The sequence below is a fragment of the Homo sapiens genome, chromosome 6 (genome assembly GCF_000001405.40).
Source record: "Homo sapiens chromosome 6, GRCh38.p14 Primary Assembly".
NCBI classification, from domain to species: Eukaryota; Metazoa; Chordata; class Mammalia; order Primates; family Hominidae; genus Homo; species Homo sapiens.
Window position 1 is genome coordinate 5,047,810 of NC_000006.12, and position 21,028 is coordinate 5,068,837.

A 21,028-nucleotide genomic window follows, 5' to 3' on the forward strand; every position below is an offset into this window, starting at 1 on the left:
TTGTTACCTTATTACAATAGCATAAAATATCACAAAGTAGAAAGAGTTCTGGGTAGACAGGAGTCCTGCTGAGTAGCTCTGTGCCCTGGGTGGGGGTTATGAGGAAGGGTTCCCAGGTCTGCTTCCTCCACCCTGAGGTCACCATTAAAGTTGGAAGATGACTTAAAAATCAGACAGCATCAATCCCCTTCAATAGTTTTCTATGGTGTATGTGTTCATTAAATTCTGGGTCATTGAACGGTCATGGATAACCTTAATCTCTCTTAGCCTCAATGTCTACTAACATAGTTCATATTCTGTTAAAGTTATGAGCATTCGTATTCTAAGATTTGTATTGAATATAGATGATAGATTAAAATTTTAGTGACAAATCTTGATGATTCTGTAGGAACTTTTCCATGTGATAAATCTTCTTTTCATGCTATCTTGGCTTCAGCAGAATGGCAACATTACATTTAAAGACAGGCTTTGACACTTTGTGGTGTGTGTGTGTGTGTGTGTGTGTGTGTGTGTGTGTGTGTGTGTTTGGAGGCTCCCTCTCTGTTGCCCAGGCTGGATTGCAGTGACGTGATCATATTCACTGAAACCTCCAATTCCTGGGCTCAAGTGAGCCTCCCACCTCAGCCTTCCAAGTAGCTGGGACTACTGGCGCATGACACCATGCCCACATCATTTTCTTATTTTTTGTAGAAACAGGGTTGGTTGCCCAGGCTGGTCTTGAACTATGTTGCTCAGGCTGCTCTTGAACTACGTTGCCCAGGCTGGTCTTGAACTCAAGTGATCCTACCAAAGAGCTGGGATTACAGGTGTGAGTCAACATGCCCAGCCCTTGTGTTTCCATTAATGCATTCTATGCTGTCCATCACAGATCCCTACTTCACCTCATCACTTTTTGCTTCAGAGCCCCATGTGTACAATGATTCATGGAGGCATATAGCAGCTCACAGGAGGGTAGGTGTAGCCAAGTAGTATGTACCTAAAGTGAGGAGAGCAATTGCATAAAGAAACGTAAATAATGGTTTGAATGGGGCAATGGGAAGGGAAAGAAAGCCAATTGTTCCTCTGAGCTTGTGGGACTTGGAAATAAATGTGGAAGAATTAGCAGGACTTGTTCCAGAGGGCTGCAAGGGAGTCAGTGCACTCAGGGAGAGCCAGAAGATAGAGTAGACTTTTAGGGAGGAAGTTGGGATAAACCTTGGGAACAAAGAGGGCTTTAATTACAGTGTAAGAAAGATTTGGGAGGAGTCACTGCAGAGGAAGATTGGGAAAGGGGATGGCAGTGGAAGGACAAGCAGAATGAGGTAGTAAAGGTCTCATGGGCATGACCGCTGTGAGACAGACCTGGTATTGGTCAGGACCACCTTCACTTCCATCCCTGGTCCCAAGAGCAGCTATGCTACTGGAGTGAGAAGCTGCATCCTCTTCTCCAGAGATAACATAGAGCCCCCTACCACCACCCAAATTGAGAGCTGAGGATGGGCGGATGGGCTCTCCATTGGACTCTGAAGGCACTGCCAAATTAATATCCTATCCTCAGATGACCCAACTACTGGGAGCACAAGCTTCTTCTCTAGGTCAACTAATAGTCATGACATACTGTCCTTGAGTCTTCCCTGCATCCTGCCACCCCCAGGAAACCATGCCATGACAAAAGAGCACAGTACTAGTTGAGGTCATAGATATTAGAATTAGTAGGACCTGACATTTGGCAGTTAAGGAACCCTTAATAGGTAAGTTATTCATTGTTTTAACCCTCAGTTTCCTCATCTGTAACATAATAACAGCTCATTATAACAGTACATAGCCTCCTTGAGTGAGAAACTAAATTGAATTCCTTCTCCTGGTTTGGTTTGGGCAGTGTCATTTTTTTTTTTTTTGGAGACAGAGTCTTGCTTTGTCACCCAGACTGGAGTGCATTGGTGCAATCTTGGCTCACTGCAACCTCCACCTCCCGGGTTCAAACGATTCTCCTGTCTCAGCCTCCCCAGTAGTTGGGATTATAGGCGTGCACCACCATCCCTGGCTAATTTTTGTATTTTTAGTAGAGACGGGGTTTCATCATGTTGGCCAGGTTGGTCTTGAACTCCTGACCTCGTGAGCTGCCTGCCTCGGCCTCTTGAAGTGCTGGGATTACAGGCATAAGCCACCATGCCCGGCCTGGGCAGTGTCATTCTTCTAGAATATGAAGGCATTGGCTTTTCAGCCATAGACATCCAAATCCTGCACTAAGAAGCACTCTGATGTTCGACATTCAAGAAGATGGCAGCGTAGAAGCATCAGGAATCCATTTCCCCATTTGGACAACAATTGCACTGGCAGGATCTCTCAAATGTAACTATTTTGGAACTTTGGTGTCTACTGAAGGCTTGCAACATCCAGGGGAAGACTTGGGTGGTAAATTGTGGTTGATTTTGGCTAATTTTAGCTCTTAGCTCAGTAGCAGCTGTCACCCACCAGCCAGGCAAACAGCTATGCATGTGTGCCTGAGGCAGCTTGCAAAAAGCTTGAAGGAGCCAAGGTGGGTGTAAGGACCCTATCCTCCAAATAATGGGGATCTTTGCTGTGATTGCTAATTGCTGCTTCTGGTTATGGAGGTGTAGACACGGAGGTGAGCAGCATTGCTGCAACCATCATTTGCACTTTTACAATCCTCATCTCTTTGGCTGAAGCAACTTCCAGGGGAATTAAAGGGCCAGCACCTGTTTTTGGAGCCTGCTCTTTTTTTTCTTCTTTATTTTTCCTTTATTACCCTTTTGGAATAAAATATTTAAGAACTAGGACATCAACAACAACAACATATACAGAGGCATTTGGAAAGTCATCACACAAGCCTAGGGAAAGGTGCAGGCTCAAAAAAAGATCTGAGAAGACCTTAAGTTTACAGTTAAGGCTGAACTTTGGCAGACAGACACCCTACCAAGGCAGAGAGTTACAGAGTTACATATTATAAGATTCCAATGTCCAGTTTTCAGCAAAAAAATCACAAAGCATACAAACAGAAAAGTATAACAGATTTTTAAAAATCAATGGAAACCATCTGTGAGAAAGACTAGATGGTAGACTTACTAAACAAAGAGTTTAAAACAATTATCTTAAAGATGCTCAAAGAGCTTGAAGATGTAGACAAAAGTCAAGAAAACGTATGAACAAAATGGAAATATCAATAAAGAGACAGAAAACACAAAAAGGAACTAAAGGAGCTAAAAAGTACAATAACAAATGAAATTTTCACTAGAGGACTCAAAAACAGATTTGAACAGGCAAAAGAAAGAATAAGTGAACATGAAGATAGAACAATTGAATTCTTGACTCTGAGGACTTGAAGGCCAAAAAGATTACAGAAAAGTGACCAGAGCCTTAGGAACCTCTGGCACATCATGAAGTAAACCAACATATACATTGTTGAGGTTCCAGAAGGAGAAGACAAAGAAAAAGGGGCAAAGAGATTATTTGAATAAATAGTGGTTAAAAACTTCCAAAATATGATAAAGACATGAACATAAATATGAACATGAACATAAATTCAAGAAGCTCAATGATCTCAAAAGACCCACACCAAGACACATTATACTCAAACTGTCAAGACAAAGGAAGAATCTTGAAAGCAACAAGAAAGAAATGACTCATCCCATACACCGAATCCCTGGGAAGGTAAGCAGATTTCTCATCAGAAACCTTGGAGAGGCCAGAAGGCAGTGAGTTGATACATTCAGAGTGCTGAGGCAGGAAAAAACAAACAAAACAAAACAAAAGTGTTGACCAAGAATGTTATATCCAGCAAAACTATCCTTTAAAAATGAGGAAGAAATTAAGACATTCCCAGATAAACAAAAGCTGAGGGAGTTTGTTACCACTAGACCTGCTGTCTTAGTCTGTTGTGTGTTGCTATAAAGAATGCCTGTTGCTAGGTAATTTTTTTTAATGAAAAAAGAAGTTTATTTGGCTTAGGATTCTCATGTCTGGAAAAGTTCAAGATTGGGCATCTAACAAAGGCATCAGGCTGCTTCCACTCATGGCAGAAGGTGAAGGGGAGCCGGGAAGTGCAGAGATCACATGGTGAGAGAGGAAGCAAGAGAGGTAGCAGGGAGATACCAGGCTCTTTTTAACAACCAACTCTCATGGGAGCTAATAGACTGAGAACTCACCCTCCCTGTGACTGTGTGGGTATTAATCTATTCATGAAGTGTCTGCCTCCATAACCCAAACACTTCCCATTAGGCCTCACTTCCCAGCACCACCACACCAGGGATTGAATTTCAACAAGAGGTTTGGAGGAGTCAAACATCCAAACTGTAGCACCTGCCTTGCAAGAAGGGAGTTCTTTAGGTTGAAATGAAAGGGCACTAAACAGTAACTCAAAGCTATATGAAAAATAAAGATCTCTGGCAAAAGTAAATATATAAACAATTATAAAATAGTATTATTGCAACTTTGATTTGTTACTTCCACTTTTTATTTTCTACATGATTCAAGAGAGTAATGTATTTAAAAACTTATTAGTTTATATTTCAGGTGACACAATGCACAAAGATGTCATTTTGTGATATCAATAGCTGAAAGGGGGTAGGAGCAGAGCTGCATAGAAGCAGAATATTTGTATGCTCTTGAAGTTAAGCTGGTATAAATTCAAACTACAGTGTATGCCTTTTTTTTGTTTTTTGTTTTGTAGAGATAGCATCTCACTATGTTGCCCAGGCTGTTCTCAAACTCCTGGCCTCAAGTGATTGTCCTGCCTTGGCCTCCCAAAGTGCTACAATTACAGGCAGGTGTAAGCCATCATGTCTGGCCCAGTGTATAACTTCAGGAAGGTAGTTTTAAAGATGAAAAATATTCTAGAGATGGATGGTGGTGACAGTTACATAATAATGCGAATGTACATAATGCCACTGAACTGTACACTGAAAATGGTTATATAATAGTTAATTTTATGTTATGCATATTTACAATCTTGAAAAATAATTTTTAAAAAATTAAAGAAGAGGCAGCTTATGCTGTCTAAGGAGCCCCTTTTTCTACCTGCACTCTCTATGCTTCACTCCTACTCACTTCACTTTTGAGGAGGAGCATGTACACTCATTTTTGAACTTGCTCTCATTAACTGATTCTTCTTTCTAAAGGATAATGCTTTTTCTTTCTCTCACTTTTGGTTATTACTAGTGAAGACCAGTTACTGTCTCTTATATTATGGAGCCATGCAAACTAAAAAACATATTATGATTATGTATAATAGAAAGAAAGGCAAGATATTTTTACTTCCCTTGGTGCTATGTAGTACTTGTTGTTTTGGATATGAAATGGTTAAGCAGTCATCCCCTTGGAAGCTCTGCAGAAAGTGGGGATGGGGGATTTTTTTAGATGATTTTAAACAGGAAATGCCATGATGATCTGTTTCCACCAGAATGGGTTTTTATGTTCAGCTCTTACTCTAAATCAGGAAGTTCTTGTTCCTGCCAGAAAGTGAGACAGATAAACCCTTTCCTCTACTGCAGCCCACTAACAGTTCCACAGAGCACAGGATCCAGAAAATGGAAATGGCTGGGTATAGGGTAAAGTATCTGACCCTACCTCAGGGCCATGAATATGGGGCTGGGGAGCAAGGAGAGAAGACAGGGATAGAGAAGCAGAGGGAGGAACATGGGAGCAGAAGAGGGAGAGATGGAAAGAGAAAGAAAACTGGTGAGGTGGCTTGCACTCGTAGTTCCAGCTACTTGGGAGGCTGAGGCAGGAGGATCACTTGAGCCCCAGAAGTTTGAGGCTGCAGCGAGCTATAATCCTGCCATTGCACTCCAGCCTGGGTGACAGAATGAAATCCTGTCTCTTGCAAAAAAAAAAAGAAAGAAAGAAAGAAAGAAAAGAAATTGGACATTAAAACCAGAATCCCTAGGAAATTATTTCTAGTATTTTTGTATTGTTTCCAAGTTAACTGTACAGACAATTGTAAGTAATAGGTCTGTATGGAGGAATCTCAGCCAGTTTCAAAGACTCTCTTTGTTGCCTTCATGAAGTCCCAAGGTAAGTAACCTATCAAGCATATATACATTCACTGGGTGCCTTCTGCCTATTACAGTAAAAAAAGCTAGAACTCATTCTGCCCCAAAACAGGTAAAGAGGCTCCCAGAATGTATTTTAATTGAACTTAAGATAGTCTGGTTATTCTACAAATTCTGAGAGTAACACCTGTGCTCTTGCTGACTCACCACCAGCAGAAAATGATTAAGATGGCTATTTACAGGGTACACAATGTTTTCTAGCTTAATTAGCCTCTTACCTTCATCCAGGAACTAACGCCAGATGCCTCTGTCCTCATGGCAGTCACCTGGCCATGACCAGAATCCCAGTTTGAGTGTCTCTGCAGGGAGGAAGAAAAGGGGTGGGAAAGGAAGGAAAGACATCACTATTTATCAAATGAATGCCTTGTCCCTGGCACTGTGCTTCCACATATGTTCCTGATTAATTGTCCCAACAACTCTGAGAGGTCGGTGTTAGTATGTTCAGTTTCCAGATGTGGAAACAGAGGCTTAAGGACTTGGAGTAATTTACTCAAGATCCCAGAGTCAGGAGAGAGGGAAGCCAAAATTGCAACTGTCCTGCTCCAGTGTGCATGGTCTTTTCATGGGAGGTTTGTGCAAACAACACCAAATCCTAAGCCTTTACTCTCAGCTTCCAATCATGCAGAGTATTTCCTGACAAATTCCTGGTAACAGCATTATTCTACAGCATGCCCCGGGAGTCTTGGGAGTCATACTTGGTTACGAGAAGTGCAAAACAAAAATAAAACTCTAAGCGCCCCCAACCAACTGAATGGATCCCTCTCTTGGCCAAGAAGGATTCCAAAAAATACCTGAAAAACCACATCAGCCCATGATGGGAAGGAGGAGTCAGACTTACCTCCTTCTACTGTCTTCCCTTTGGAGTTTAGACGTGACTGACCAACATTAACATTGACTCAGAGACCTTAAGACTGAAAAAACAGACTCTTTGTAGCAATAACATACCACATTCCAACCTGACTCTGGTATGGAATCACATGACGGATATCAGGCCCTGAAAGAAATGGCAGTATTTTATCCCAAAATATATTCCCTTGACATATTTTGAAATGACCCTGAAAACCTGTCTCTTGTGGGGGAAATTTGCTTTCTATAGAGAATCTTCTTCCCTTATTAGGCCTTTTCTGGAGAGTCTGACACCTTTTAGGGTCAGACAAGAGACATTCACTGCTTATTCTCTCTGAAACCTGCTATTTGGAGGCTTCATCTACATGACAAGAACCTTGGCTTAAGCTCCAGCTTAACTCTTTCAACCAATTGCCAGTCAGGAAATCTTTGAATCCACCTATGACCTCGAAGACCCTGCTTCGAGAAGTCCTGCCTTTCTGGGTTGACCCAATGTATACCTTACATGTATTCATTTATGTATTTCCCTGGTAACTTCTGTCTCCCTAGAAGGTATAAAACCAAGCTGTAACCCAGCCACCTTGGGCACATGTTCTCAGGACCTCCTGAGGCTGTGTCACTGGCCATGGTCCTTAACCTTGGCAAAATAAACCTCTAAATTAATTGAGATAAGTCTCAAATACGTTCTGGTTTACAGAAGAAAAGTAGAAATGGGAGTAAGAGTAGGCCAAAGAAGAGAAGAATGGACACGGTTTCACCCTGATGAAGTCACTGTGCCTAGTAATATCTCAGACCTGTGATTATTACATTGCCTGGCCAAATAGGACACGTTCCTCAAGATTAGGCTCAAATGCTACCTAATATCTGTCCCACTTCATACTCCCCACCCTGGAATCCTCTTGGCTCAGTTAAAAGTGTTTCACGTTCTTGACTGGTATCTCCAGACTGAATATACCTTCACTCTACCCTCCACCCCTAAACCACTCAGGTCCAGAGATAGTTTCTAAGTGGGAGAAAGGATCCTTAGCTAAGACATCTCTGGTCCCCATGCCAGAATCTACTCAGAGGGTCAGTTTGTGGCTTCCCTTCAGTGGGGCTTGAGAGACAGGGCCAAAGGGACTCACCAACATAACCTTGAAACAGTTAAAAACCACGTGCACCCTGCCAGATAGACCTACTAGAATCTCAGGCCAGTGGTTATTCAAGTTTTTGGTCTTTGGATCTCCTTCCTTCTTTCCTTCCTTCCCTCTTTCTTTTCTTTTCTTTCTTTCTCTCTCTTTCTTTCATCTCTCTTTCTCTTTCTTTTTATTATTAGAGACAGGGTCTTGCTATGTTGCCCAGGCTGAAATGCAGTGGCTATTCAACAAGTGCCATCTTAGCCTCCTGAGCACAAGCAATCCTCCCACCCACTTAGTCTCTTGAGTAGCTGGGACTACAGACACATGCCACCGTGCCTGCCTGGCTTTTTTGCAAATCTTTTTAATGATTGGCTTTTTAAAAAACAGTTGGATCCTCATATCTACTTCTGCATTCAACCAGTTGTGATATGTTTTCTGCTTGAAGGATATGAAGAAAATCCAGCCTCGGATAGATAAATAGTTGGAAAAGGAAAGAGTGTCTTTAATGGCCTTTTCAGAAGACTGTAGACATTCTTCTTTGATATGACACCAAGACTAAACTGGATGTCATTTCTTTAAGGTAGTTGCAATATGGAATCTGAAACCTTATTGTCAAACTGTCCACACTATGTTACATTACAGTCAGTTTATCTTGCACTTTAAGCGGATCTTTTACCTATGCATAGTCTTGTAACATTTTGCATTGATCATTTGGAAAATATGGTTCACTGAAAAATGCAGGTCTTCCAAATGTTGGCAGCTTTTCTTATCCAATAGCAACAATCACATTTGTTTCAATGCTGATCTCATCATAAAAGTCTTTAAATACCAGGTAGCTGTCAAGCTCATGGTACATACAAGTATTTCAAAATTATCATTTTTCCTTCAAAGTTCAGATTTTAACCTTAGCAATGCATTATTTCAGTTGTTTTCACTGCACTTCATTGAAGTCAGAGGTTCACATGGGTTATTTTCAAGAAAATGTCTACCAGATGCCCAAGTCTGAATATTTATAGTTTATCCATTGTTCAAGTAAAAAATAATGTTTCACTATAAAAGCAGCCAGTTCAACTCAAAACTCAATCATCCTAGAGCTTTTCCTCAAAGCAACGTCATACATTGGTAGTAGAAGTGACAAAATACTTCCTATTTTGTCACTGAATGTTGAAAAGACATGTACTCAAGAGTTGAGAGTTAATAAAATTAATTATTTTTATTGGTTTATCTAGGATATTTTTAAGTGATACGGGTAGGGCTTTATCCATCATTGCTTTTGCGGTATCAGTGCAAGTGTCCACAAAGTTAAAAAGGCAAATCATGTCTTAGCATTGTTATGAAAATAGTTTCAACCTCTCAACCCAACCCCCCTTTCCCCAAAGGCTCTAGGAGACCTGGGGGCCCACGAGCCACACCCTGAGGTCTGCTCTCCTAGCCTGCTGTCATTGCTAAAGCCTGCACGGGCTTCGACCTGAAGGGGGAGCTCAAGGCCTTCCCAATCTTCTTCCTTCCCTCTCCTCCCTGCCCACCCTTTCCCTCAACTTTGGGACAAAAGAGACCAGGACGGAAGACACCAAGGGACTCTAGCTTTGGAGTTCAAACTTCCCTCATTCCGGCTGGGCGTGGTGGCCCACGCCTGTAATCCCAGCACTTTAGAAGGCCAAGGCAGGCAGATTACTTGAGGTCAGGAGTTCGAGACCAGCCTGGCCAAGATGGTGAAACCCCCATCTCTACTAAAAATTCAAAAAATTAGCCAGGTATGATGGCGCCTGTAATCCCAGCTACTCGGGAGGCTGAGGCAGGGGAATCGCTTGAACCTGGGAGGCGGAGGTTGTAGTGACCCGAGATCGCACCACAGCACTCTAGCCTGGGCGACAGAGCGAGACTCCATCTAAAAAAAAAAAGAAAAAAAAAAACTTCCCTCATTCCTAGTGAAACGCTCACTTTTTTTTTTCTTAAAGAGACAGGGTCTCTCTCTGTCACCCAGGCGGAGTGCAGTGGTGCAATCATAGCTCACTGCAGCCTCGAACTCCTGGGCTCAAGCAATCCTCCCACCTCAGCCTCCTGAGTAGCTGGGTGCACCACCACATGTCCAGCTAATTCTTATTTTTTGTAGAGATGGGGTCACTTTATGTTGCCCAGGCTGGTCTCGAAATTCCAGACTCAAACAGTCCTCCTGCCTCGGCCTCCCAAAGTGCTGGAATTACAGGCATGAGCCACCACACCCTGCCTCTATTCAGTTATTTATATGGCCCATTCCTCCACATTAGGTTCCAAATACAACAACATCTCCTTCATTCCATTTTCCCGAGACCCAGTGTCTCCTTCTTCGGGTTCCACCTTATGAAGAGTCTACACGGGGCTCTCTGTGACTGGAGAGAGGAGAGGACCTGAGTTCCATGAAACCATGGGAGCCACTGCTTCTTTTTGTCACATGGGGTCATTAATGAAACCAAGCCTTGCACAGTGTGACAGCAGATGTCTGTTCAGAGCTGCTGGCCTTCCCTGAGTGCTGCCTGCTTTCTCAACGGCCTGTCCCAAGCCTGCTTTCTCATGTCCGTGGGAACAGGTGTTCTAAGGTCCGGGGCTTAACATCCACTTCCACACCAGCCATCGTTCTCCAAACCACAGCCACAGGGCCACAGAGAGTTGACCTGGGGGAGCTTCTGCACCCGCCACACAGTGGTTCCCCGCTTCAGCCTGGATTCTCTCTGTCCTCCTTTTCTGCCTCTGAGCCTCCGCCAGCTCCATGTGACTCAGCTTCAGGCATCCCTCGGGGGGAACCCATGGGCACCCAGTGTCCAACCTACCCCCTCCTCAGAGGACTCTTGGCTGTGTCTGCCTCCCCTTGCTATGTTTTGCCTTCTGCCTTCTTTATTCCCCTGTTATTTTTCCTGTTTTAGCCATGCTTGATTCGGTTTTACAGCCCTGTGTCTCCCCACTATTTTTATATATATATAATGCTTGAATGCTTGCTGCTTTGTTTTCCATTTTCTCTTTCTAGTTTAATGTTCTTTATATTCCTTTAAGGTAAAAATGTCTTGCTTCCAACTTGTTTTCCCTGATTTATCATTAACTGCTTTTAATTGAAAAAGTAATAAAAGCACATGACGAAAATGGAAAGAGATGAAAAGCATACACAATGAAAAGCAAGCAAGACCTCTGCTCTCCTAATCTCTGTCTCCAGAGGTGACACTGCTACTGGCTTCTTGTGTTTCCTTTTAGAAGTCCTCTATATGGCCAGGCATGGTGGCTCATGTCTGTAATCCTAGCACTTTGGGAGGCTGAGGCCGGAGGATCCCTTGAGCCCCGGAGTTCAAGACTAGCATGGGCAATATTGAGAGACCCAGTCTGTACAGAAAATTAAAAAATTAACCAGGTGTGGTGGCACACACATGTAGTCTTAGCTACCCGGGAGGCTGAGGTGGGAGGATCCCTTGAGGCCAGAAGTTCAAAGCCACAGTGAGCTATGACGGTGGCACAGCATTCCGGCCCGTGCAACAGAGCAGCGCCCTGTCTCAAAAAAAAAAAAAAAAAAAAGTCCTCTGTGTACATAAGAAGCACACTCCTCCCCTTTTATTGCACTAATAAAAACTTGGTATTCACACAGTTCTGGGCCTCTCTGATTTTTTCTTAACTCTGTATCTTGGGGATTGTTTCATATCCGCCCAAGAACAGCTACTCGACTCCCTTCCCTGAGTTTCCATTAACTGAATTCTTGTCGCAGGAAGAGGACTGTGGTCTGTCAACACACCTGGACATGCCTGCTCTGCGGCCCCATCAGACTTTGTCCCCAGGCCATTGTATGCTCTTCAAGTTCATTGAATCATCCTAAAAATCCTTTCCTACCACCTAACATCATCCACATTTCCTCATCTCCCTTTCCCTAAAAAGAAGGGTATTTAACCATCTGTACCCCATTGCATGGTGGGAGAATCACATGCTAATAAATTTATATGACTCTTCTCCTGTTAATCTGCCTTTTTTTTTTTTTTAAGAGACAGGGGTCTTGCTCTGTTGCCCAGGCTGGAGTAGAGTGGTGTAAGCATAGCTCATTGCAGCCTTGAACTCCTGGGCTCAAGTGATCCTCCCGCCTCAGTCTTTTGAGTAGCTGGGACTATAGGCATGAGACATGACACCTGGCTTTAATCTATCTTTTGTCAGTTGATTTTCAGCCAGCATTCAGAAGGCAAAGGGGAAGTTTTCCTTTGGCCCCTCCAACATGAAATCTGGATGTCCCATAATATATTGAACTTGTCCCCTCTTTAATGAGCATGTACATTGTTTCTGGTCTTTTCCTGTTACTAACAGTGCTTCAGTGAAATACATATGTACACACGAAAGTGTGGGATCAAGTTCTAGAAGCAGAGTTCTTAGGTCAAAACTATTTCTTTTAAAACATTGATAGATATTATTTTATTGCCCTCCAAAGAGTGAGCCTTTTTTTCAAAGATGGTGGGAATATTGATCTCTGTGTGTTGATTGTCTTTTGGATTTGTTTGTTATAATTTTTGCCATGAAAAAATGTTGGATTTTTAAGCAGGTACATTACTGTTTATGCTTTGCAGGTACATTCATGTAGGCCTTTTGGTTTTGTTTCTTGCTTAAGTCAGGTCTTGCCCAGTGAAGGTTTTTTTTAGTTGCCTACACTTTCTTATAGTCCCCTTGAGTTTCGATTTTTGTATTTTTTTTTTTTTGAGACAAAGTCTCACTGTGTCACCCAGGTTGGAATGCAGTGGTACCATCTCCATAGCACTCCCATAGAAAACTCACAAAAATCAGCTCACACGTCTGCCTCTCGGGTTCAAGTTATTCTTATGTCTCAGCCTCCTGAGTAGCTGGGATTACAGGCATGCGCCATCACACCTGGGTAATTTTTGTATTTTTAGTAGACACGGAGTTTCACTGTGTTGCCCAGGCTGGTCTCGAACTCCTGACCTCAGATGATCCACCTGCGTCAGCCTCCCAAAGTGCTAGGATTACAGGCGTGAGCCACCGTGCCCAGCTATATTTTTCAATTTATCTGGAATTTATTTTGAGAATTAGAATTCAGAGAGATTCTGCCCACCCCATAGCCAACTAGTTATACCAGTGGTATTTATTAAATAATTCATATTTTCTCGACCAATTTTGAATGCCACCTTTATCCTATACTGTTCTGTGTTCTTAAATTTAGGGGACAGCCAGTCAGGTGCAGCCTCAAGAGGGGACACAGGAGAGGCTCAGAAACAGTTTATAGTCCTCTCAGGTCCTTCACACAGGAGGCTGGCCATGCAGGTCACTTAATTAATTAAAAAGACAGTTAATTAATTGTATTTTTTGGTGAGGGATTATTTTACTTTTAACTTCTTAGTGTTTAATTTTTAATCCTTCATTTCTTCTATTTTTCTGATTTTAATTTATTTATCAGCTTTAGATTTTTGTCTCTTTTAACCCAAACCTGATTTACTAGAAGTTGTCTATTTTCATGCACAAACTGTCACACCACGTGCAGAGGCCTGCCTGTCAGTCAATAGTTCAGTTTTGGCTGAACTGCCACCTTTGTTTCACAATAGCAAAACGATGATTTCACAATTGTTTGAATATCTTATTGCATTTTGCCCTTATTTTATACAAGATAGTGAACAATTGTAAAATAAAAAAGGTTAATCCTATCTATGTCATAAATAATGAGAGAAATGCAGAAATATTAGTTGCCTCCCAAGCTTTTCACTTACCAGGCTTACGCAGATCAAATGTGTGTTCAATAGCAAACGCTGAAGGTGGCTAGGGGCTATGGGGTTGGGATCTGAATCTAACTACCTGCATGGTGCAAGAACTAAAACCTGAAAAACGAACACAAAACCGATCCATGACCATTGAAATCCCCAGAGACTCTGGCAACAGGAAGTCTTGTACTGTTCTATTCCGCAGCCACCCAGAGCTCACGGGAGTCCCATAGAAAACTCACAAAAATCAGTTCACACACAATGAATTACAAAGCACTGGAAGAAATGAACACCATGAATAAGACGCAAGACCCAGAGATGGAATATTTATGCCATAATTGAGAATGTTATCACCTTTGTAATTCTCTAGCAATGGAGGTCTTTTATATGTGTGCATTGCTCAACTTTTTTATAATTAACTCTGGTACTTTCGTACCACCTCCACAATAGCGGGGTGTTTAATACTGATACTTTGCCATTTTCTTCCTTCTATTCTCCTGGCTTAAAATACTATTATTTTCATTTCTTTATTTCTTCTTCCCCTTCCTTCTTCTTTTTTTTTTTTTTTTTTTTTGAGATAGGGTCTCGCTCTGTTGCCCAGGCTAGTGTGCAGTGGTGCGATAATAGCTCACTGCAGCCTCAAACTCCTAGGCTCAAGTGATCCTACCATTTCAGTCTCCCAAGTAGCTAGGACTACATGTGCACACCAACACCCCAGCTAATTAATATATATTAATTATATATTTATATGTTGATAATATTTATAATACATATTAATTAATATATTTATAACATATATTAACATATATATATATGTTTAGAGACAGGGTTCACTGTGTTGCCCAGGCTGGTCTCGAACTCCTGGCATCAAGTGATCCTCCCACCTCAGCCTCCCAAAGTGCTGAGAGCCACCATGTCTGGCCTTATTTTCATTTCTTAATAATATCATTTCCCCTGAATTTCATGACCTATCTGCATTTTTCTTCCACATCATTGTTTTATTTAATTCACCCTTCCCTTTTAATAAAGGCCTAAGACAAATGTGGCCAAAGGGATGGTATCACCGAGGCAGCATGGCAGGAAGGATTAGAAGCCTCCCTTGCTCAGAGCTGCAGGTGAGCTGCCAGCTGGCTCTTCTACTGAAAACACATAACACATCCTGTTTGAGGACAGTTTTCCACCTCCCCAGGATCCAGGCGACTCTCAGGACATAATTTACTTCTCTGTGCAAGTGGTCCATGCATTTCTGGCTCTGTCAGGTGACTTCTGGAATTAGAACCTCATGGGAGAGGCTGCACACTTTAGAATCTGTGATCTCTGATGAATGCAACCATTGGATTTGGAGCAAATCAAAGCCTGCCGCAAGCCAGGAGGGGAAGGGAAGGAGGAGGTCACACTGGCAAGGGCCCTTGGAAGGACTCATGTGCCGCTGACTATCCTGTGGTCAAGTGGACCGTGGTGGAGGGTGGTGTGGGCATCCATTATCGAACCACTGGGTCTGCTCGTTCACAAAGCAGCTTCCCATGAGTCATTTCCATCTCTGCACCTCCTTCTCAACAGGCACAAGAGGAGTCACCTGTGGACATTTTCCCTCAATACAAAGTCTTCCTGAATAGGATTTTTTTTGAATGGGGCAAACTGGGCAGCAAGCTTTGATTTTTCTTTTTTAGGAAGGCACTGAAACTGGCACAGACGGGACGGCCACTTCATCCACCGACTAAAGCCTTGGTCCTCATGAAGCATTCTGTGCACCGAGACCTGGCTGACCCTGGGCTTTTCGGATGCACTGTAGCCCTCAGGGAGGACCTGGTGCTCTTCTGGGGAGATTGGAGTCCCTGGAAGGCACGTTAGCCAACCGCCCATTTCCAGCCCCACAAGCCTTTCCCGACCCCCATCCTACCTGGCCCCTCCCCCAGGCCTATCCTCCTGGTCTCCTTCCCTTGCTTTGGTTTTTTCACATCAGTTGTCGCCATGGGACGCTACTTACACCCTTGTGTGGTTGTTTATTCTGACACAATCTGAACCCCACTGGAAGAAGCTCCCGATCCCTGGAACCCAGGCTTGTTCACCTATGTCTCCCCAGCACTGAGCTTGGCCTGGAGTGATGTTTGTTCAGTGAGTGAGAGGCACTGCTCCTGGTGTGTGTGGCTTCCTCCCCCAACAGATCACATGTGGGTGCCACCGTGGACCACAGTTGGGGAGCCATCTCCCGGGAGCAGACTCAGCCTTCATCCCTGCCCAGCCTGGTCCCACCCAGCCCCTCTTCAGGCTGCCCCGGTTCCCCAGACCCTGGACAGTCCTGTTCATCTCTCTGCTCACCCCAGCATGTCGGGAACCTGCCCCAGAAAGTGGCATGCGCTGGTCCCAGGAACTGTCTGGGCACACTAGGCCTCTGGGCGAAGGGGTTGACTTGCCAGGCCAGGGGCAGTGGCTCCGGTGGGAGCTGCCTGTCTTGTGGCCTAAAGCCATGCAGTGAGGTTCACGGCTGAGTTCTTCCACATCTGTTGGGTCCCCAGAGCCTCTTAGCACTTCCTGGGAGCCCATTCTCAACTTGTGTTTGGCTTTTGGGAGCCTGTTTCTAACAATACACGCTTGAAAGGGACCCAGGTTTTAGAATGTTCTTTATTCCAAAGTCAAGGTTTTTGGAATTTTATCCCATCTGCTGGCTGAAAAAAAAAGGTGGGAGCAGAAATAAGGGTGACAAATGAATCAGCCTTCCCACCTAGCCCGGAAAAGTTCTATCCCAGCAAGCCCTGAACGGCAAACGAGACGTGATATCTATGTTTGTCTATTTGTCTTTAGTCATCTTTTAAATTTTATTTTATTTTAAAAATAATTAATATGTTTTATTTTTAGAGCAGTTTTAGGTTTACAGAGAAATTGAGTGGAAGGTACAGCTTTCCCATACACCCCTCAGCAACCCAAGCTCACTGTTTGCTCTGTTAACAATGAATATGAATGTAATGTATTTGTTACAGCTGATGAGACATTGATACATTCTTTTGTATCATATATTTTTTAAATTCAATTAACTTTTTGCTTAAAATTTTTTTTTATAGAGACGAGGGTCTCACTATATTGGTCAGATTGGTCTTGAACTCTTGGCCTCAAGGCAATCCTCTCGCCTCAGCCTCCCAAAGTGCTAGGACTACAAGGGCGAACCATTGTGGCTAGCCTTATTATTATTTTTAGTTGAAACACAATTGTACATATTTATGGGGTACAGTGTGGTATTTCAATTCATGTACACAAAGTGTAGTGATCAAATCAGGGGAATTAAGCATGTCCATCACCTAAAACATTCATCGTTTCTTTGTGTTGGGAACATTAAAATGTGCTCTTCTAGCTGGATACGTTATTTTAAACTAAAGTCCATAGTTTACATCAAGGCTTAGTCTCGGTGTTGCACATCCTACGGGTTTTAATAATGTTACGTATCCACCATTACAGTGTCATACAGAATAGTTTCACTGCCCTAAAACCTCTGTGCTCTGCCTACTCATCCCTCTCTACCCTAAACCATGGCAACCACTGCTCTTCCTAACTCCAAGTTTTGCCTTATCCAGAATGTCATAGTTAGAATCATACAGTATATAGCCTTTCCAGGCTTCTTTCACTTAAGTCATATGCACTTCAGTGTTCTCCATGTCTTTTTGTGGCTTGACAGTGTGTTTCTTTTTACTGCTGAATAATATTCCATTGTCTAGATATACTACAGTTTACTTATGCATTCATTACTGAAGGACATCTTCGTTGCTTCCAAGCTTTGGCTTTACATTTATATATTTATTTTTATTTAAAATATTTTAATTTCTAAAAAAGTTTAAATCATATTAAAATTTAAACAATTTCATTCTGTAGTACTTGACAATACATTTCAACAAACTGAAATGCAAAACAAATCAGTAAATCAGTTTTGTTTACTTTCTAAGCTTAATAATGTACAGACTCTTGCTCCTCAAGAAGATGCAAAAATCAGCAACAGTGAAAGTGAAATATTTAAATAGGAATCTGAAACAAAAGGAATTCAATCTGATCAAATCCACAATTAATTGAAGTTTTCACTTTATTCAATTGTGAATAAAATAGCAGCCACTGTTTCATCCAATATGCCAATGATATCAACTTCAGGAGAAATGATCTACGTGTCATGTGCAAAACAAGAACAGTTATCTTCTGCTGAAAGGATGTGAGCTTTCAAATTTGGTTTTCATGTCATGGTTTCCAAATAAATAAACTGCTCCACCAAAAACGACAGTCTAGTTGCTACATATTTACCAGGGTTTCATCATATAGCCATTTATAAGCACAATCTTTGGAACACTATAGTTTCAAAAAGTTTTTTGAAGTCTTGAGGGTACATGTTAGTTATTTTCTCTTCTTCCTTTTTTCCTATTTGCATCAATATATCCATTGCACCAAGTGGAGTCAGTGAACTTAAGTGGTCTATTAGATTGGCACTGCACCTCCCAAAACAGTGCTTTCACATGTGAAAAAATATATTACAGTTAATAGGTGTTAAGTTCTCGGTAAATAAATTTCCATGAGGAGTCATTCGAGTAAGATACAGATTTTGTTGTAATAGCTCCAATAATTCCCTACACTTTGGGTTTTCCAGCCGCCCATTTTGGGTGTATACATCAAATGACGACCAAGCCTCCATGTGCAGAACCTTAATCTCACAAGCTACTTGCCAGATAACACTTCATACATGATACAAGTCTGGATTTCGGGGATCTGCCGTTAGTTTCTGGAATTCTTTTTTACCAATAAACATATTTAGTTCTATTCGTCCAAATTTATATCTAGAAGTACAGGAATACGTCATATGCAGGTTTCCAAAGTGGCCCTTTTTTCACCTCTACTTGAGAACATTCTAGTTACTTTTAAAGGGCTGCCTGCTGTCCAAGGAACTGCTTCTATTCCCAAATTCTGAAAGAGCCCTTGAGAAGCCATAGCGGGTGGTTTTATTACTCCACCACTTCTAGGATCTATTTTAAAGAAGTCACAGTGAATCACTTGTAGTTTTCCATCCAGATTTTTTCCTAAGGACTCCAAATGTGGAATAAAAGTTTTGTCACTTTCAAGGGCAACCACTTTGGCACCAATTTCAAGTAATGCCTGAGTCAGGATTCCAGGACCTGGACTGCACTGCAGCAATAGGTGTGGAGGTCTATTTTGTTTTCTCCATACGATTTGCGCCAGGGTCTCAGCCAATCTCCGATTGGTTACGTAACGCTTAAAGTCTAAGATGGAGTTTAACACCCTCCTTGGTGAGTTCCTGAAATCCGGATCCGGCCACAGCTGCGGAGAGGAGTCAGACAGGCCACGGCGGTTCCTCGCCGGCAAGTGCTTTCGCATCGCCGCTCCAGACCCTAAAATGCAAAAGCGACCAGCGCCCCCCAAGGCGGAGAGCCTCAGCCGAGGAGGAAATCCGGCCACTGGGATCCACATGTCTTTGTCTCTCAGGCCCGCTCCAAGGATTACCGGGGGTTGCTACTGCAGTGAACCCCTAAATTTATTTTTAATTATATCATTGAAACATACATATATGCACTTGGCGGAAAAATTAAAGTGATACAGACAAAAGTATTAATTTCTTTGCTACTACTCCACCTCTTCCAAGTTCACCACATTCCCCATGTGCATCTTTCTAGATCCTTCCTAAGCATTTATAGATATTTATGTACACAGAAAACATTAGTTATCTATTGCTGTGTAACAGATGACCTCAAACTTAGTATGTCGTTAGCAACAGTTAACATTTACAATTGTGCAGCTTTTGAGGGTTAGGGAATTGGGGAATGTTTTATTTGGGTGGTTCTGGCTCAGTTTCTCATGAGGTTGCAGTGAGTATGTCAGCCAGGGCTACAGCCATCAGAGTCTTAAATCCGCTTCCAAGGAGGTTAACTCACATGGCTGGCAAATTGATGCTGGTTGGCTCTGAAGGGCTGCTTGAGTGTTCTCACAACATGGCGGCCAGCTTCCTCAAAGCAAGGGAGAGCTGGGGGAGTGCTCAGTGTCTTTTGTGACTCAGCCTTGGAAGTTGTACATTACCACTTCTGCAGCCTCCTGTTGGTTACATGGGCTATGGGAAGGGTGTGAACACCAGGAGGCAAGGCTTGGCGACTGTTTTATAAAGACTGACTACCATGCAGGGAAACTAATGGATTTTTTTGTAGTTTTGGTGGAAAACTTTACATTTGGGAAAAGGAAAAGTTACAAATCTTAATCGTTTTTAAGCGTTACGATACACACAAAGTAAGCAGTATTAAAACAAATCCCATGCCAGTTTGTAGCAAACAATCTGTGTTGAGGAATTTTAGCCATCATAATAGTGAAAAAAAGATTACGTATATAGTGTGATGATTTCAACTTTGCAAGAACTCATTTGTTAAGGCTTGGATATGAGAAGATTGCAGGAATAAATTAACTTTCACATACTTAAAATCTCCTCACAAGAACACCCTACATTTATCACAGTGCTAAATGTGCTATGGAAAGCACATGCTTATGGAAAACAGGCTCTAAGTTTTATTTTTCCTTTAAAAAGGCAACCTTCTTGCCCACACTCTGATTGATTTTAGGCTTGGGCTCATTCATTTTGACCAGGGTGGTTGGGCTTCTCTCTGTTTACAAACAGGTGTTTGCCTTACAATTCTGTTGTCTATTCACCGTCACACTGTATGAGGTCAAAGTAGAAGTCAGTTTGGAAATGCGACATCAACCATCGTCCGCTGGGGAGCAGAGCAAAGGTAAACATGGTGAAAGGTCCTGCAGCAGCCAGCCAGACACAGTCAGGACTTGCCTGGGATCATAAAGGCCTCCTGCCAGCACGCCGGCCCCTCACCCCACACAGAGCCATGGGCCACTGTTTACTGTCCTGACTTCACAGTGCCATGACTATTGATCATGGGTGAGCGCAAACATAAGAGTACAACAGTGTGATGGTCCGGAAGAAAACTCACATCAAAACACCTGTTGATGTATTCTGACGTCATAGGTTCAAATGTCCCATGATCTTGAGGCTTGGCTCTTCCACGCCGCAGCCCTTCCAAATAGCACACCCAGGGCCCACTGCGTGCTGTCTCTGTTGCAGACCCTGTGTACGTGACTTAATCCCGTTGGAAAGGGGACACTGGAACAGAGAGAAAGCAGAGGAGGGGAGTCTGGGGAAAAAACGGTCTATCGGCATGCATACATATGTAACAAACCTGCACGTTGTGCACATGTACCCTAGAACTTAAAGTATTTAAAAAAAAAAGAATTTAAAAAAATGAGTTATCCATTTGTAAACTGCTGATTTCTT

The 21,028-nt window shown here is 42.6% G+C and overlaps 1 protein-coding gene, 1 long non-coding RNA gene and 1 pseudogene across 5 annotated transcripts in view, besides 3 other annotated features; 1 reads left to right on the top strand and 2 right to left on the bottom strand.

Annotated features, from left to right (window-relative positions):
* Nucleotides 1-21,028, top strand: part of LYRM4-AS1 (LYRM4 antisense RNA 1) — a 236,681-nt gene that overhangs the window by 43,994 nt on the left and 171,659 nt on the right. The window lies entirely within an intron of this gene.
* Nucleotides 1-21,028, bottom strand: part of LYRM4 (LYR motif containing 4) — a 229,198-nt gene that overhangs the window by 16,057 nt on the left and 192,113 nt on the right. For 2 of the 4 annotated variants that reach the window (XM_017011084.3, XM_017011083.3), the window contains exon 3: nt 6,269-6,349. In XM_017011084.3, coding sequence (XP_016866573.1) covers nt 6,269-6,349 — 81 coding nt within the window. Of the gene's footprint in view, nt 1-6,268; nt 6,350-20,517; nt 20,858-21,028 lie in introns of those variants that run through there. The other 2 variants (NR_134856.1, NM_001318783.1) reach the window with 1 other exon arrangement.
* Nucleotides 9,545-9,594: an enhancer, noted in NCBI's record as "active region_23899". NCBI's record gives its function as "activates an Ori minimal core promoter by ATAC-STARR-seq in GM12878 lymphoblastoid cells {active_cell/tissue: GM12878}" and the evidence as "EXISTENCE:reporter gene assay evidence [ECO:0000049][PMID:35858748]".
* Nucleotides 9,655-9,714: an enhancer, noted in NCBI's record as "active region_23900". NCBI's record gives its function as "activates an Ori minimal core promoter by ATAC-STARR-seq in GM12878 lymphoblastoid cells {active_cell/tissue: GM12878}" and the evidence as "EXISTENCE:reporter gene assay evidence [ECO:0000049][PMID:35858748]".
* Nucleotides 15,532-16,033: an enhancer, noted in NCBI's record as "H3K4me1 hESC enhancer chr6:5063575-5064076 (GRCh37/hg19 assembly coordinates)". NCBI's record gives its function as "activates a minimal SCP1, AML or CMV promoter by ChIP-STARR-seq in naive H9 embryonic stem cells {active_cell/tissue: H9 hESC(naive)}" and the evidence as "EXISTENCE:reporter gene assay evidence [ECO:0000049][PMID:30033119]".
* On the bottom strand, nt 17,798-19,232 carry TFB2MP1 (TFB2M pseudogene 1; annotated as a pseudogene).